The sequence below is a fragment of the Homo sapiens genome, chromosome 9, assembly GCF_000001405.40.
Source record: "Homo sapiens chromosome 9, GRCh38.p14 Primary Assembly".
Classification (NCBI taxonomy): domain Eukaryota; kingdom Metazoa; phylum Chordata; class Mammalia; order Primates; family Hominidae; genus Homo; species Homo sapiens.
The window spans coordinates 6,776,373-6,793,779 of record NC_000009.12 but is presented as its reverse complement, the minus strand read 5'-3'; the positions used below and the strand labels follow the sequence as shown (position 1 = coordinate 6,793,779).

Below are 17,407 nucleotides of genomic sequence, written 5' to 3'. Positions count from 1 at the left end.
CCTGAGGTCAGGAGTTCAAGACCAGCCTGGCCAACATGGTGAAACCCCGTCTCAACTAAAAATACAAAAAAATTAGCGGGGCATGGTGGTGGGTGCCTGTAATCCCAGCTACTTCGGGAGGCTGAGGCAGGAGAATCACTGGAACCCGGGAGGTGGAGATTGCAGTGAGCCGAGATCACGCCATTGCACTCCAGCCTGGGCGGCAAGAGCAAAACTCTGTCTCAAAAAAAAAAAAAAGAAAGAAAGAAAAGAAAAAACATAGAAGGAAAGAAAAAGGATAGGAGAGAGAAATTGTGGTTAACCTTCAGGTTAATAATTGTTGTCTACAAAAAAACTGACAAAAACTATGAATACTCTCACACCTCTGAAACCCATACATGGATCTCCTTGGTTTCCATCAGCCACCCTTGGTTGGTTTTGATTTTTTTTTTTTAAGCCTTAGAAGACAACCTAGTATGAATAGTTATACTTGAAGGAAAAATAAGACAATTACTATTTGAAGAAATCAAATGTTTCACATGGATTAACGAGAACAAAGATTTTGCAAATTTCTTCCTTCAGAAACAATGTCCCAAATCGTGAAAACTAAGAACATAAATTAAAGGCCAAGTGATTGTTTTTCATTTAAAGCATCGAAGGATAATCACCTTTGCAAGACCCGCACGATGGGCTCCTTTAGACTCCATGTATGCAAGGTATTTGTTGAACTCCCGGAACTCCTCCATGGAGGGTCTGAAGGTCATTATCTTACAGCTGGGGTTCAGAGGACTTTCCACCTCGGCCACCTCCATGATGGTTAGGGCAGTGTCTGGAGAGAAGACAGTAGGGTCAACAGAACTGAATTATTATATGCTTTAGGTCATTTTTAACAAATAGTATGTCAGCTCCCCCAGCAGGAACCCTTCTCTTTCAGTCACTTCCCATTCCCTTCTACCAGTCTCAGGGAGACTCCCTCATCTCTGCCTGAACCCCTGAACAAACAAGGGCCTCTAGTCATTCCTCTTGCCAAGTTCCCTATGCCAGGTAGAGAACCACTGATCTGACTATACTGTTAGCCTCCTCAAAACCCTTCCAAGTAAAAATAAATTTTCTAGGCCGGGTGCGGTGGCTCACGCCTGTAATCTCAGCACTTTGGGGGGCCAAGACGGGCAGATCACAAGGTCAGGAGTTCGAGACCAGACTAGCCAACATGGTGAAACCCCACCTCTACTAAAAATACAAAACTTAGCCGGGTGTGGTGGTACATGCCTGTAATCCCAGTTACTCAGGAGGCTGAGGCAGCAAAATTGCTTGAACCTGGGAGGCTGAAGTTGCAGTGAGCCAAGATCTCGCCACTGCACTCCAGCCTGGGTGACAGGGTGAGACTCTGGTCTGAGCGACAGAGTAAGACTCCGTCTCAAAAAATAAATAAATAAAAAATAAATAAAAATTTTTTTTTTGAGACAGTCTCGCTATATTGCCTAGGCAGGAGTGCAGCGGCGCAATCTCGGCTCACTGCAACCTCCACCTCCCAGGTTCAAGCGATTTTCCTGCCTCAGCCTCCCCAGTAGCTGGGATTACAGGCACCCGCCACCATGCCGGGCTACCTTTTTTGTATTTTTAGTAGAGATGGAGTTTCACCATGTTAGCCAGGCTGATCTAGAACTCCTGACCTCAGCCAATCCGCCAGCCTCTGCCTCCCAAAGTGCTGGGATTTACAGATGTGAGCTACCGAGCCCAGACGTAAAAATAAATTTTCCTTTTCTCTTTTTCTTTTTGAGACGGAGTTTTACTCCTGTTGCCCAGGCTGGAGTGAAATGGCGCAATCTCGGCACACCACAGCCTCGACCTCCCGGGTTCCAGTGATTCTCCTGCCTCAGCCTTCCGGGTAGCTCGGATTACAGGCATGGTCTACCACACCCAGGTAATTTTGTATTTTTAGTAAAAATGGGGTTTCTCCATGTTGGTCAGGCCGGTCTCGAACTCCCGACCTCAGGTGATCCACCCGCCTTGGCCTCCCAAAGTGCTGGGATTACAGGCATGAGCCACTGTGTCTGGCCGTAAAAATGAATTTTCTAACCTTGCAAGTTTACAAAAGATGTTGCTTCTATATACCAGTTCTGAAACAGACTCTCACTCACATACGTACCTGTACAAAGGCCTAGTCTAGGCTGAGTAGAGAATGTTAAAAATCGTTAGTTTACTCAGGTGTGCTTACAGATTGTCATATCATGCCTTCCTACAGTAATTAACAAGCCATCCATTCAGCAAAATCGCCAAGCACCAGGCAAAACACGGAAAAGAATGACGATGGAGACAGAAAGGGATGAGGTCTGTCTTCACCTTCCAAACTGTCTAGAGGCTGAACAAACTTCAATATAAAAATGTACACAAGGGCTGGGAGTGATAGTTCACACCTGTAATCCCAACACTTTGGAGGCGGGCATATCACTTGAGGCCAGGAGTTCAAGACCACCCCGGGCAACACGGTAAAACGCCATCTCTACTAAAAATATAAAAAATTAGCCGGGCGTGGTGGCACACGCCTGTAGTCCCAGCTACTAGGGAGACTGAGGCAGGAAAATCACTTGAACCTGGGAGGTAGAAGTTGCAGTAAGCCGAGATCATGCCACTGCACTCCAGCCTGGGTGATGGAGTGACACAGGAAGAAGTAACTAACTCCACCTGGGTTAATGAGCAATCATTTTCCCAGAAAGGGGGAGAGTTAAGTCTTATAAGAAGGTATGGGAGTTGGCCAGACAAGAGAAAGGGCACTCTAGGCAGCAGAAATATCTGGAAGTACCGCTGGAACGGACAGGAGTTTAATAATGTGTCTGGAGCATAGAAAGGAAAGACTATAGGAGATCAAAGTAGGAAAGTAGGCAGGTTTTACTATGAAAACACAGGCTTAATCTCGCTGTCAATAAACAGGATGATTCCTTCAGCAAACATTTATTGAGCACCTATCATGAGACAGGCACACAGAATGCAAAGGTAAGTAAGAAGCACTAAAGTGGCTGCCTCAGGAAGGAGTCCCACCCCAACCTTCTTCTAAATCCATTAGGACCTGGCATCTGACAGCACAAACAACAAATCCTCCTGGAAAAAAGTTTTCCTCTTTTTTTTTTTTTTTTTTTTTTTTTTTTGCTGAATTTAATCTGCCTGACAGAAAAATTAGAAATGAGGGATGGGGCAGATAAAAGGGTGAAACGTCATGAGATAGTAACAGGTTAAAACAGAGCAGGGCTGGCCAGGGCTAGGGCTCATGCCTATAATCCCCGCACTCTGGGAGGCCGAGGCGGGCGGATCAGTTGAGGTCAGGAGATGGAGACCATCCTGGCTAACACGGTGAAACCCCATCTCTACTAAAAAATACAAAAAAAAAAAAATTAGCCAGGTGTGGTGGCAGGCACCTGTAGTCCAAGTTACTCAGGAGGCTGAGGCAGGAGAATGGCATGAATCCAGGAGGCGGAGCTTGCAGTGAGTGAGCCCAGATCACGCCACTGCACTCCATCTCAAAAACAAAAACAAAAAAACAAAAAAAACAGAGCAGGGCTACAGATAGTGATGTAGTCATTATTTGTTTAAAGAAAGTTTGGCCAGGCGCGGTGGCTCACGCCTGTAATCCCAGCACTTCAGGAGGCCAAGGCGAGCGGATCACACCACCACACCCGGCCAATTTTTGTATTTTTAGGGATGGGTTTCGCCATGTTGGCCAGGCTGATCTCAAACTCCTGACCTCAGGCGATCCCACCCGCCTCGGCCTCCCAAAGTGCTGGGATTACAGGCGTGAGCCACCGCACCCAGCCTAGAAAGTTTAAATGAGCATCTATCTCACAATGCACACATGAGGAAGTAGGAGATACATAAAATTTAAACCTCACCACCCTTTAGGAACTTACAATCCAAAGGAGAAAATAATCTGCACAAAAATATATTAACACATGGTAGAAAATATTCTGAATTCTCCCTGCCTCAGGGAGGGGGCCTGCAACAGGGAAAAACCTTCCAGGCTACATTCCTACCTGCCTCTGTTCACGTGTAGACAGGTACATACCCCCAAATTCATGGGCTTCAGGATAGCAGCCTCACTCTATATAGTATACACACAGTCCTTTAGAAGCATCTGGATCTGGTCCAGGCACGGTGGCTCACACCTGTAATCCCAGCACTTTGAGAGGTCGAGGCAGGCAGATCACTCGAGTCCAGGAGTTGGAGACCAGCCTGGGCAACATGGCGAAACCCTGTCTCTAAAAAAAAATATAAAAATTTGCTGGGCGTGGCCGGGCACAGTGGCTCACGCCTGTAATCCCAACACTTTGGGAGGCTGAGGTGGGTGGATCACCTGAGGTCAGGAGTTCGAGACAGCCTGACCAACATGGAGAAACCCCGTCTCTACTAAAAATACAAAAATTAGCCAGGCGTGGTGGCACATGTCTATAAGCCAAGCTATTCGGGAGGCTGAGGCGGGAGAATTGCTTGAACCCAGGAGGCGGAGGTTGCAGTGAGCTGAGATCACGCCATTGCACTCCAGCCTGGGCAACAAGAGCAAAACGCCATCTCAAAAAAAAAAAAAAAAAAATTAGCCAGGCGTGATGGTGAGCGCCTATAGTCCCAGCTACTCGGAGGCTGAGACGGGAGGACTGCTTTACCACCCCGGGGGGCAGAGGGTGCAGTGAGCCAAGACTGTGCCACTGCACTCCCACTCCAGCCTGGGTGAAAGAGTGGGACCCTGTTTCAAAAAAAAAAAAAAACAAAAATCTGGATCTGGCCCTCACCTAACTACTATGGCCTCGTCCATCATCACTGTCTGCACTGTACTTTACACTCCAACAATACTCACTGACTTGTGCTTCTGTAAACAAGCAAAGCTTTCTGTGTTTCTGCACGGTATTCCTTCCCCTCACAGCAGCCTCTGCCTGCTTCCTCACCTGACAAACTCCTGCACACCCCTGAGATTCCTAATCCTCTGGAACAGGCCTGCCTGACCCATCACCGTGTTCCCAACTCCCCCTCTGCGTTCATTATAGCAGTTGCCTGTCCCAACTGCTGGCACTTCCAACCACCCACTGAGCCATCAGCTCCTCCAGGGAAATGCCGGCTCGCCACCTCTTTAAGCCCTAGCATACAGTCTGGCACCCCAGCCTGGCTCACAGTATCTGCTGCAATAATTATTTGCCAGCTGAATGAAGGAGTAAGTGCCAAATTGTTAACATATTTACATAATGATACCAAATTCAGGAAAAGGAAAGCAGTAGTCCCAAACACAGAAAAGTTACTTAGAAAACAGATTCACTTGCATGACTGGTAAAGAATAATGCAACAGAAAAATCTGGGCAGTGAGAACAGGGTAGAAGCCCACAGATCACCTTTGTAGAAACATTTGGTACACAGAAGGCAGTGTTCATCTTCGACAGGCTAAAGAACAAGGGTGGCCCGAGCATTTCCCTAGGCAGAGGAAAAAGCCAATAGGAAAAAGGAAATCACTGAGTCATTCAACAAATAGTTATTGTATGCCTAACTGCTGGGCAGTCATTCACCAGGGAACAAAGTCCTGACACTAATGGAATGAAACAGACAATAAAAAGTACATGCTATGAAGAAGAACCAAGGGTAAGGGGATAGACTGCAAAGGGGAGGGGTGGCTATTTTATACAGGGTAGGCAAGGGAAGGTACTTCGGAGGAACAAAGGGCTGAAGGAGGGAATTAATCATACAGATATCTGGAAGAAGAACATTTTAGGCTGAAGGAACAACAAGGAAAGAGACTATCGGACTCTTCAAGGAACAGCAAAGAGATGCGTGTGGCTGGAACTCAGTAAGCAAGGAGGAGAATGGTGAGAAATGAAACTGGGGAGAAAAGGAGTTTGGCATTTACTCTGCATGAGATGGGAACTGATCCTGGGGTTCCTCCCCCTCTTAGTTATCCAGTTCTTGGTACTCAAACATCCATTCCCCTTTAAGGAGATAATGGCTGTCTCTAAAGAAACTTTTCTGGACCATCTGAAGCAGAGAAATGAGCTGGCTCACATATTGTAAATCACATTCTGGCTCTTGTGTCAAAAAGGACAAGGCTGGAAGCAGGGAGGTCGACAAGGAGGCAATTTACACTAACCCAGGCAAGTTAAGACGGCAGCTTGGACCATGATGGGCAGAGGGAAATGCTCAGATTGTAGATTGCAAATACATTCTGAACAAAATTTCTTGACAGAAGTAAGAGAAATACGAATCAAGATTTCTGGTCTAAGCAACAGAAGAATGGCTCTGGGCCTGGGCGTGGTGGCTCACGCCTGTAATCCCAGCACCTTGGGAGGCCTAGGCAGGCAGATGACCTGAGGTCAGGAATTTGAGACCAGCCTGGCCAACATGGCAAAACCCTGTCTCTACTAAAAATACAAAAATTAGCCAGGTGTGGTGGTGCGTGCCTGTGATCCGAGCTACTAGGGAGGCTGAGGCACAAGACTCACTTGAACCCCGGGGGCGGAGGTTGCAGTGAGCCAAGACGGTGCCACTGCACTCTAGCCTGGGCAACAGATAAAGACTCCGTCTCAAAAAACAAACAAATGAAAAATGGCTCTGACAAGAAATTGAGGCACAGAAATTGTTAAGACATGCAGCAAATTAGTGGCTACTAGAATTAAACCTAGACCTTGACCTAGTTTGCTAACTGGTCTAGGAAATATACTCTGCCAGTTTCTAGCATCACTACTCCCTTGATTACACAAAACTATTTCTACCTACAAATCAGATACATAGATTAAAGACCTAGATAGCTTAGGTTTTAGACCTTTTTCAATCTTGGAAGTTAATATAGGATAATCATAAAATTTTAAATATGTTAAATAATCTAAAAAGTTAACTTTCACTACACCACCCAGATCTTTGCCAATATGATGGGCAAAAAAGTATGGTTAAGTTTCATTTATTTGATTCTTAGTGACAGTGATCATTTTTGAACACACATAGCCATTTGCATTTCTTTTTCTGGGAGGTGCCTACTTACATTCATTACATTTAAAAGGTATTTATATTAATAAATGTTCTGTTCCTTGAGTTCTTCCTAATCTATATTTATCATTACTAAACTTAATCATGCTACAATTAAATCCCCAGTCCCTCTTGTTTCTCTTTTACCTTTATTTTTCTGAACCAAGAAGAAACAGAAGTTTAAAATGTTCTTCCAGTAATGTTTCCAAGTCACAGGAAAATAGGTATATCTTAAAACAAGCACCACTATGATTTTTAGCTGAAGGTGATAATCATTTTTTTAAATGCTACCCTTCTTTTGACTGAGTCCACAAAGTGAATGACAATACTATCTCTGAAGGCAACTGTTATCTTGCTTCCACAGAGCTGGTCTTCAATGTTTCTGAGACCACCTACAGCAAAAACGATATTTATAGCAAGTACCCTAAGAATTTTTTTAATAAGCTAAAGACCTTTCCATTGAATAAAGTCCAGCACTAACTCATATAACAACCCATGTTTGTTTCTGAAAATTTTTACATTATGATAAAGGACAAACATCTACTCTCCTTGTTCTAATGAGAACGTGTCTTTATTTGGTAATAAAAAAGAAACCAAGTCTGATGCTTTCCGGCCAAATGTAATACTCTATCCAACATTGCCTTCCTTCCCTGTCTACACCTGTGTTTCTGACTTGTATTCTCTTAAACAACTTCTGTGGGAGGAGTAAAAACTGACAGCTCTCATTGTGTATTAGTTTCTCCAACAAAGCCTGCCACAGAACTGATGTGCACTGCTGCCTCTGAAGAGAACAGTTCAGTATCTACTTTAAAACACAGCCCTCTAGGAACCTAAGCACTCACAGTTAGCAGACTATGTCTCTGGCTAGAAAAAGAAGGATTCTGGGCCCTACCTGAGGTGATGGAGTCTGGCCTTTCAATCCCAACACTCAGCACACTGGGTGTGGCCTCACAGGAGCCAAGCAAGCTTCTGCTCTGCACACTGCTTTGGCTGGGCATTGTTAGGGATTGACTTGTGTCCCCCCAAAAGACACGCTGAAACCTAACCCCCAACACCTGTGAATGTGGCCTTATTTGGAAATAAAGTTTTTGCAAATGTAATCAAGTTAACATGAGGTCATATTTGATTAGGGTCGGCCCTGATCCACTATGACTGGTGTCCTTTTAGGAAGAGAAGAAGCCAGGCGCAGTGGCTCATGCCTGTAATCCCAGCACTTTGGGAGGCCAAGGTGGGCAGATCACCAGGTCAGGAGTTCAAGACCAGCCTGGCCAATACGGCAAAACCCTGTCTCTACTAAAAATACAAAAAAATTAGCCAGGCATGGTGGCGGGTGCCTGTAATCCCAGCTACTGGGGAGGCTGAGGCAGAAGAATCGCTTGAACCCGGGAGGCAGAGTTTGCAGTGAGCCAAGATCGCACCACTGCACTCCAGCCTGTGTGACAGAGTGAGACTCCATCTCAAAAAAAAAAAAAGAGGAAGAGGAGAAGAGACAGACACAGGAAAGAGTGCCATGTGAAGATGGAGGCAGGGACTAGAGTCATGCAGCTGCAAGCCAAGGAATGCCAAGGACTCCTGGCAAACACAAGAAACTACAACAAAGGCTGTAAGCAGATTCCTGCCTAAATCCTTCAGAGAAAACACGGTCCTGCCAACACCTTGATTTTGGCCTTTAGCCTCCAGAACTGTGACAGGATAGACGTCTCTTGTTTTAAACCATCCCAGTTTGTGATAATTAGTTACATTAGCCCTAGGTAACTAATACAGGCATGAAGGGCCAGACTGGAGGGAAAGGAGAAGAGGACCACGTTCTCCAATCTTAGCTTTATCAACAGCAAAGCTCCTAATACTCTGACTTTTCATCTAACTTCATCCTTCTCAAATGGTTCTAAACTGGGGAGGAAAAGGGAAGTCGCAGGCCACCTCCACAACTCTCCATTAATCGTTAGCACATCTACCCAGTTATTGAACCACAAGAGGGCTTGAAAGGGCCCCCCAGGCCTGGGCCCCAGCTTAGAAAGCAACACAGCAAAGAAACTCCCTGAGCCTCCTGACCATTTTTGCCTAAGCCAGGACTCATTTCTCTCTCACAAGTCCAAGCAGCTTTTATTTCATCCGTTTCATCCCATTCCGATCACCACTCCATCTTGTTCCACCTGCCTGCTGAGGCCAGGGGTAGGAATGGAAGAGCAGACTCAAGGAGATAGTTCTGGAACAGAGTGCCTTGGATCCTAGACCAAAAGGATTTTTTTTTCCTCTTTTCTTTTGCTATAAAGAATACAGTGGGCCGAGTGTGGTGGCTCACACCTGTAATCTCACCACTTTGGGAGGCCAAGGTGGGTGGACCACTGGAGGTCAGGAGTTCACAACGAGCCTGGCCAACATGGTGAAACCCTGTCTCTACTAATAATACAAAAAAAATTAGCCAGGCATGGTGGCATGTACCCGTAGTCCCAGCTACTTGGGAGGCTGAGGCAGGACATAACAGACCTAACTGGATTTTTATTTTCTCCTCAGGACCAGGAACAATAACTGGATTTTAATCCCTCCCACATGCCTCCTCCACTTAGTAGCTGTGTGACCTCAGGAAAGTTACTTAAATGAGGCCTCTGCTTCCCCATCAGTAAAATGGGGTAACATTACCTAACCAACTGCATTGTGATGGGGATCCAGTAAGCCACTAAATGTAAGAATTTAGCATATTGCCAGGCTATAGTAACATCTGCATGCTGGCTTTGAAAGAAAGAAAAAAAAAACATTCAAATTAAATATCTTCCATGAGCTTCTTCCTCACTGCCTACAGATGCTCAAATTTCTCCCATATAACTTTCAAAGGCTTCCTGTATGTCATGTCCCCTCCTAGACTCACCCAAGCTACAGCCTTCTCTCCCCAGCCTCTCACAGACAAACCCCAACAGAGAACGGGGTTTCTTTGTCAGTTCACCTCCTGACTCAAATCTTCATCTGCAATCTGATGTCTGCCTCCACCAATGGATTGAAATCACTCCAGAAAAAGTTGCCAGTAACTTTTTAATTGCTACAATCAATATGTTGTTTTTAGTCCTCTTACCAACCCTTCTGCAGCCTCTGAAACCAGAAAAGCCTCTCCAGGCACAGCTTTTGTGGGTGGTGGGCAACTAGCCCCTCCTCACTCTCTGATGGTCACTGCACTCTCTGGAACTCCTTTCCATGCCCCTATTCCTCAGCGAACCCCTCCACTATTGGTATGCTGCAAGTCTCTTTCTGCAGTTATCTTCCCTTTCCACCAAACACAGACACTATGGGAGATTTCATCCATGCTGGCCTCAACTGTCCTTCCCAATACACCTCGGAAAAATGCTACATGGGCCTCTCTCTCATGAATCTCAGTCCAGTCTGCTAGGCACAGTCATTTGAAGATGAGTATAAAGCTGTATAGAGACAATAATGAATCTAAAACTTAACAAGGATAAAAACGAATCTGTCCTCCAAAATCTGCTTCTCTATCCCAGTCTTGGTCCTTATTCATTCAATCCATCCACAGTTTAGCTTGCCTCTTTGTGGCCAGCACTGACCACAGCTAATCCTCAAAGAGCTTACAAGTGCAGGAAAGAACAAGTACACAGGCGGTTATTATACCACAGGTCAGGTGCTGCAATAAAGGGAAGCAGAGAGGACCACAAAACCCTTTAGAACAAGAACAGTGGGAGCTACCTTTTACCAGGGTAAAGGTGGAGAAAGAAGTGAAAAGTGAAAGCATCTCCTACACACCAAGCCCATCCTCTACTGCACGGCCAACATCAGAATCCCAAGAGCCTTCCCAAGCCTACCCTCTCTTACTCTCCACTTCTAAGTGGTGACCTTTGTAGTCAATTCAACATCCTGAGCATCTTTCACATCCATTCTCTAGTCTCCATACCAACTATTACTATCCCGAGTGACTTCTGTCGTTCTTTTCTTCAACCACCCCAAGAGTCTTTGCTGATTTTCCCACCTTTAGTTCACCACCGTCAATTCTCTTCCATACATCTATATAAACATAAAGCAAACTTTCTAGACACAAAACTGATGATGCTATCCCTCTTTTAAACCCTTCAATAGCTCAATATCGTTCCAGTATGGAGCCATGAATCTAGCTCCTGCCTTTCCCCTCCCTCCTCAAAGACCCCTTTTGCCCACTTGAAACCTTTGCTTCACTTTAAACCACTCGATGTTCCCAAAGGAGTGAAGCCATTTCCCTCCTTTGCTGTGCTATATATAGACATATGTGTCACGTGTACGCCGTTACGAATACCTTCTGTGAGCAAGACATCTGTTAAGTGCATTAATGTTCATTCTCTTAATTAAATCTCATAAGAACTCCATTGAGAGAGGGACCATGAATATCCCTATTTCACTAATGACAGAGAATAAAATGCTTGCTCAAGGTCCCAAGTTAGTAGGAGCAGAAGATGGGAAATGAGCCTAATCTGAGATTCTACTCATAACTGCTTTGCTATTTGCTTCTCCTATCCTCAGTGGTGCCTATCTGGCAAAACTCATCTTTCAACTTTATCTTACACGTTGACTCCCTTATGAAGCTTTTTGGGCAACACTCCCCACCAACTGACAACGTCCTTTTTAAATGCTCTCGGCACTCCACACACGTCATCAATCTTCATTATTCACAGATTCCGTATCTACAAATTTACCTACTCACTAAAATTTATAACCAGGCCAGGCATGGTGGCTCACACCTGTAATCCCAGCACTTGGGAGACCGAGGTGGACAGATCACCTGAGGTCAGGAGTTCGAGACCAGCCGGGCCAACATGGTGAAACCCTGTCTCTACTAAAAGCACAAAAATTAGCCGGGCATGGTGGCAGGCACCCGTAATCCCAGCTACTGAGGAGGCTGAGGCAGGAGAATAGCCTGAACCCAGGAGGCTGAGACTGCAGGTGAGCCGAGATAATGCCACTGCACTCCAGCCAGCCTGGGCACAAGAGTGAGGTTCTGTCTCAAAAAAAAAAAAAAAAATTATTTATAACCCCAAAATCAGTATTTGTATCACCATTTGTATGGTCATTCACAGACACGCATAGCGCAATGAAAAATTTGAATTGCCCAATGCACACATTCCCAGCTGAGGCCAAACAAAGGCTTTCTTGTTTCAGCTCTCATAATGCAAACAAGTGTCCATTCTATGGTCTATTTAGTGCCATGATTTTTGCACTTTTACACTGTCTGTTGGTGATTTAGCTGCTTAAAATGGCTCCCAAGCATAATGCTGAAGTGCTGTCTTGTGTTTCTAAGTACAAGAATACCATGGTTTATGGCTATAGCTATATGGCTTATGACAAAAATTCATGTTACATAAGGTTGGTTCAGTCATGAGTTACAGTGCTGTTGGCAACAAATTTAATGTTAATAAATCAACAATTATATTTTAAATACAGTGTCTTTAAAAAAAAAACACAAAAAACAAGATTATGTATTGATCAGTTGATGAAAATGTTCTGACCAGAGGGTGACAGGAACCTAAACTTGTACTTCCACTAGGAGCAACATTTCAGTATTTACTAGTTCATTGTTCATGATGACTTTATAGAACATAACTACTGCAAATAATGAGAATCAACTATACCTTGGCCCTTGTAATAAGACCATTCAGAAAAATCCCCTGCCCCAAAGAAGCTTCCCAGCCTACAGGGGTAAATTCAGGCAGCCACTCCTACAGACTACAATTGACTAGCCTGGCACAATCACTTCCCCGGGACTCAGAACTAGAGAGCAGAGACAATGCCATGAGGGGCTACAGCAGCTACTGTCTGCTATATGCATAAACAGAAAATGAGAGAAGGAAAGAGATCAGCAGAGAAAAGTAGAATCAAGAGAATGCAAGGCCCCAAGAAAGATGAAGGGACCAAAAAGCCAAGACTGAATCATCATAGGCATAATGAAATCATGAGCTCAATGCCTGAAGAATCTGCACCTTCAAGAGACTGCATTCTGGAGAGCTGAAATCTACATTATATGAGACATTCCAAATATGATTAAAGTCGCTTTTTTTTTTTTTTTTTTTTTTTTTTGAGAGGGAGTTTCACTCTTGTTGCCCAGGCTGGAGTACAATGGCGGAATCTCGGCTCACTGCAACCTCTACCTCCCTGGTTCAAGCAATTCTCCTGCCTCGGCCTTCCCAAGTAGCTGGGATTACAGGTGGACAGTATCACACCCGGCTAATTTTCGTATTTTTTGTAGAGACAAGGTTTTGCCATGTTTCCAGGCTGGTCCTGGACTCTTGAGCTCGAAGAGATCTGCCTGCCTTGGCTTCCCAAAGTGCTGGGATTACAGGTGTGAGCCACAGCACCTGGCCAATTTCTCTTTCGTTTTTTTGTGGGTTTGTTTTTAATAACAGTATGAGAATTAGGATACTTGAGAAGCAATATGAGCCAGAATCCTTGCAGATGTTTACAAATTCCCGATCTCTTAACTTTTTACTGTTATAATTCCCACACCTCGTTTGAGATTAAAAATAAATTACCTCATCTTTAATGGTGCTTTCCAAAGGATTCAACTTAAATTTGGTAGAAACAATAACACCGCTGTATTCACAGCTAATCTATTTACATAATTTTTAATTATATCTCATACTTACACAGCTGGCATAAACTGGATGGGAAATACTGTTGACCTGCTGAGTATTCAACTGGTATTTGGATATATTAACAATAGGCATAGCCTACTTAGCCCTGTGTGTGAGGTCAGTGGTGTTCTTTAGAGAGAATGTATGGTATCCCTTATCTGGTTAAGATAAGGGTGAGTCAGAGCTACTATAGTAGGCCAGTAAGATTAAGTAGCTGTAGGTGGCTGGCTAGTTTGCTTAAATAGCTCAATTAGTAATTGCATTCAGTGCTACAAAATGAATTTTGAGCCACTCAGGTTAATTTCATAAAGATTACACCAATGAACCAATTATTAGAAAGGATTATTATCAAAACGCAAATAGGAGTGAATAAACCTCCATGTGATGCACATCTGGTATTTGTAAAACAGCAGGTTTCCCACTTGCCATTGTCATCAGTTTATATTTGATAATAGCATCAGTCATGATTCAATTACCCATAGACACTGCTCTGGTTAACTTAAGCAGAAAGGGATTTGATATTGACTGGTGTTAGAGCACTGTTGAAGGTTGCAAGAGCAGACTCTCAGCTCAATCCCCAGGGATGTCTCCCAGAACACTGCTGCAGCAGGAGCTGTCAAGGGAACTGCCACTGCTACTACAAACAGAAGATCAGGGTCCAAGTTCATAGCACCTTGACTGAGATCTGGGGAGCAGGAAGTTGCTGTGGAACCTGTTTGTTTCACGAACACACCAAATTAGTTATGATCTAGGGGTCAGGAATCGTGCCAGAACTATTTCTTCAGACCCAAGCTACTTCTGCTAGATCTACTCCAGCAAGAATGCCTTACAGGTTTCCACTCTCTCCTTACCCTGCTCAGTTCTGAATCTAAGTCTTTTCATATTAAAAGACTTTAATCAGCCAGGCACGGTGGCTCACGCCTGTAATCCCAGCACTCTGGGAGGCCGAGGTGGGCAGATCACGAGGTCAAGAGATCGAGACCACGGTGAAACCCCATCTCTACTAAAAATACAAAGAATTTGCCAGGCATGGTGGCGGGCACCTGTAGTCCCAGCTACTCGGGAGGCTGAGGCAGGAGAATGGCTTGAACCCGGAAGGTGGAGCTTGCAGTGAGCCAAGATCACGCCACTGCACTCCAGCCTGGGCGACAGAGCGAGACTCCATCTCAAAAAAAAAAAAAAGACTTTAATCAGGCCTGGTGAGGTAGCTCAGGCCTGTAATCCCAGCACTTTGGAAGGTCAAGGTGGGTGGATCACCTGAGGTCAGGAGTTAAAGACCAGCTTGGCCAACATGGTGAAATCCTGTCTCTACTAAAAATACAAAAAATTAGCCAGGCCACTTGCACTCCAGTCTGGGCGAACATGAGACTCCTTCTCATAATTAAAAAAAAAAAAAAAAGGCACCAAATCTCCACCTAGATAGACGAATCTCACAAATGTAACACTGTGACACAGAGTCTTGCTCTGTTACCCAGGCTGGAGTGTAGTGGCATGATCCCAGCTCACTGCAACCTCCGCTTCCTGGGTTCAAGAGATTCTCCTGCCTCAGCCTCCCAAGTAGCTGGGATTACAGGCATGTGCCACCACGCCCCGCTAATTTTTGTATTTTTAGTAGAGGCGGGGTTTCACCATGTTGGTCAGGCTGGTCTCAAACTCCTGACCTTAGGTGATCCTCCCAGCTTAGCCTCCCAAAGTGCTGGGATTACAGGCGTGAGCTACCGCACCGGGCCTTGGAAAAATCTGATAAACTTTTGTATTTAGCTGTGGAAGCAGAGAGCTGTCACTTGAGTGAATAAGTTATTTAGCTACAAAGGCCTGAAACCCAGGAATGGTGGGGTGGCTCATGCCCATAATCCCAGGACTTTGGGAGGCCCAAGCGGGAGGATCACCTAAGGTCAGGAGTTCAAGACCAGCCTGGCCAACATGGTGAAACCCTGTCTCTACTAAAAATACAAAAATTAGCCAGGGGTGGTGGCAGGTGCCTGTAATCCTAGCTACTCAGAAGGTTGAGGCAGGAGAATTGCTTGAACCCAGGAGGCAGAGGTTGCAGTAAGACGAGATCATGCCACTGCACTCCAGCCTTGGTGACAGAGCAAGACTCTGTCTCAAAAAAAAAAAAAAAGAAAAAATTAGGCAAGCATGGTGGCATGCCTGTAGTCCCAGCCACTCAGGAGGCTGAGGCAGGACGATTCCCTGAGTCCAAGAGTTCAAGGCTGCAGTGAGCTATGATTTTGCCACTGCACTCCAGGCTGGGAAAGAGTGAGATCCTGTCTTTATGGGGAGAAAAAAAAAAAAAAAGGCCTGAAAACCTGTATGTTTTGAAGAAAAATGATGGAATGATGGGACTAGTTATCCTGACTATCAAACTGAAGAATTTCAAGTTTTTATGGCTTGCAGTTGGAAACCATTTCAGTTTCCAATTACAAACCATTTTAAATCTAGAGGATGGCTTGTTAAGAATGTTACATTTGATTAGCCAAACATGGTGGAAGCAGGTGGAGGTTGCGGTGAACCAAGATCGCGCCACTGCACTCCAGACTGGGCGACAGAGCAAGACTAAGTCTCAAAAAAAAAATTTTAACTTCAAGGACCTGGGGGCAATAAGGAGAACAGATATAACAACTTTCTTGTCTTAGACAGGTAAAGGGAACAATCTCAAAAATGTAAAACACAGGCATTCACTACTGAAAGAGCTACACTCACTACAGAAAAGATAAAATGAGGCAGATCACATTGTCATTCTAAAAGTCCTCCCACAGCCCCGGAGATGTGCCCAGCTGAAGCTGAAGGAAGACTCTTTGCATGACTTAACAGCTGGGGCAGCTAACATTTAAGTACTTAACATGAACATCAAGAGGTTAACAAACTCACTCAAAAGCAGCTTTGAAAAGATAAAACCTAGCAGTTACTGAGGTTTTGCTGAGAACGTAAGTGGCAGAAAGGAGTAGAGAGCTTTGGGTGCTTAAGGTCTGCTTCCACCCTGCTGTAGATGAAAACACCAAAAGTATAATATTAATAAAAAGAATTCTTCCCAGATAGCTGCCTAAATTGACCAAAATCCAAAGGAAATCAACAACAGCAATACAGATTAGACAACTGACTACAGAGTAAGTGAAAATCTGTTGTTTCCTTACTTGGGGGTAGGGGATGAAAATACAGAAGGGTGAGGAATCCTGGAAAAGTTGACAATACAAGACAATAAAAACTTAAGGGTCAAACTCAATATACAAACCTAAGTGCTATAGGAATTCCTGGGGAAAAGATAAGACTACAAATGGGCACAGTAGGAGAAGCCTTTAAAAGGTGGGATTGAGGCCCAGCACGCGGGCTCACGCCTGTAATCCCAGCACTTTGGGAGGCCGAGGCGGGTGGATCATGAGGTCAGGAGTTTGAGACCCACTGGCCAAGATGGTGAAACCCTGTCTCTACTAAAAATAACACAAAAATTACCCGGGCGTGGTGGTATGTGCCTATAATCCCAGCCACTCGGAGGCTGAGACAAGAATCGCTTGAACCCAGGAGGTGGAGGTTGCAGTGAGCTGAGATAGCGCCATTGCACTCCAGCCTGGTCAAAAAGAGCAAAACTCCAACTTAAAAAAAAAAAAAAAAAAAAAAAGTGGGTTTGAGACAGGCCTTGAAGATAAATGGGACTTGAGCCAAAGAAAGATGTGTTGAGGCTGGGCACAGTGGCTCACGCCTGTAATCCCAGCACTTTGGGAGGTCAAGAGATCAAGACCATCCTGGCCAACATGGTGGAAACTCTGTCTCTACTAAAAATACAAAAAATTAGCTGGTCGTGATGGCATTGGCCCGTATTCCCAGCTTCTCGGGAGGCTGAGGCA

General features: G+C 44.8%; 1 protein-coding gene across 19 annotated transcripts in view, besides 4 other annotated features; it reads right to left on the bottom strand.

Moving 5' to 3' along the window:
• The window catches only part of KDM4C (lysine demethylase 4C), a 454,786-nt gene that overhangs the window by 381,869 nt on the left and 55,510 nt on the right, over positions 1 to 17,407 (bottom strand). For 18 of the 19 annotated variants that reach the window (NR_148680.3, NR_148679.3, NR_148677.3 and 15 more), the window contains exon 2: positions 648 to 808. Coding sequence is in view for 8 of the 19 variants with exons in the window: in NM_001146696.2 (NP_001140168.1) it covers positions 648 to 808 (161 nt within the window). In the remaining 11 variants the exon portion in view is untranslated. Of the gene's footprint in view, positions 1 to 647; positions 809 to 17,407 lie in introns of those variants that run through there. The other variant, XM_047423029.1, reaches the window with a different exon arrangement.
• Positions 3,982 to 4,697: an enhancer, noted in NCBI's record as "H3K27ac-H3K4me1 hESC enhancer chr9:6789083-6789798 (GRCh37/hg19 assembly coordinates)". NCBI's record gives its function as "activates a minimal SCP1, AML or CMV promoter by ChIP-STARR-seq in primed H9 embryonic stem cells {active_cell/tissue: H9 hESC(primed)}" and the evidence as "EXISTENCE:reporter gene assay evidence [ECO:0000049][PMID:30033119]".
• Positions 16,198 to 16,789: an enhancer, noted in NCBI's record as "OCT4-NANOG-H3K27ac hESC enhancer chr9:6776991-6777582 (GRCh37/hg19 assembly coordinates)". NCBI's record gives its function as "activates a minimal SCP1, AML or CMV promoter by ChIP-STARR-seq in naive and primed H9 embryonic stem cells {active_cell/tissue: H9 hESC(naive and primed)}" and the evidence as "EXISTENCE:reporter gene assay evidence [ECO:0000049][PMID:30033119]".
• Positions 16,301 to 16,460: an enhancer, noted in NCBI's record as "active region_28208". NCBI's record gives its function as "activates an Ori minimal core promoter by ATAC-STARR-seq in GM12878 lymphoblastoid cells {active_cell/tissue: GM12878}" and the evidence as "EXISTENCE:reporter gene assay evidence [ECO:0000049][PMID:35858748]".
• Positions 16,790 to 17,381: an enhancer, noted in NCBI's record as "NANOG-H3K27ac-H3K4me1 hESC enhancer chr9:6776399-6776990 (GRCh37/hg19 assembly coordinates)". NCBI's record gives its function as "activates a minimal SCP1, AML or CMV promoter by ChIP-STARR-seq in naive H9 embryonic stem cells {active_cell/tissue: H9 hESC(naive)}" and the evidence as "EXISTENCE:reporter gene assay evidence [ECO:0000049][PMID:30033119]".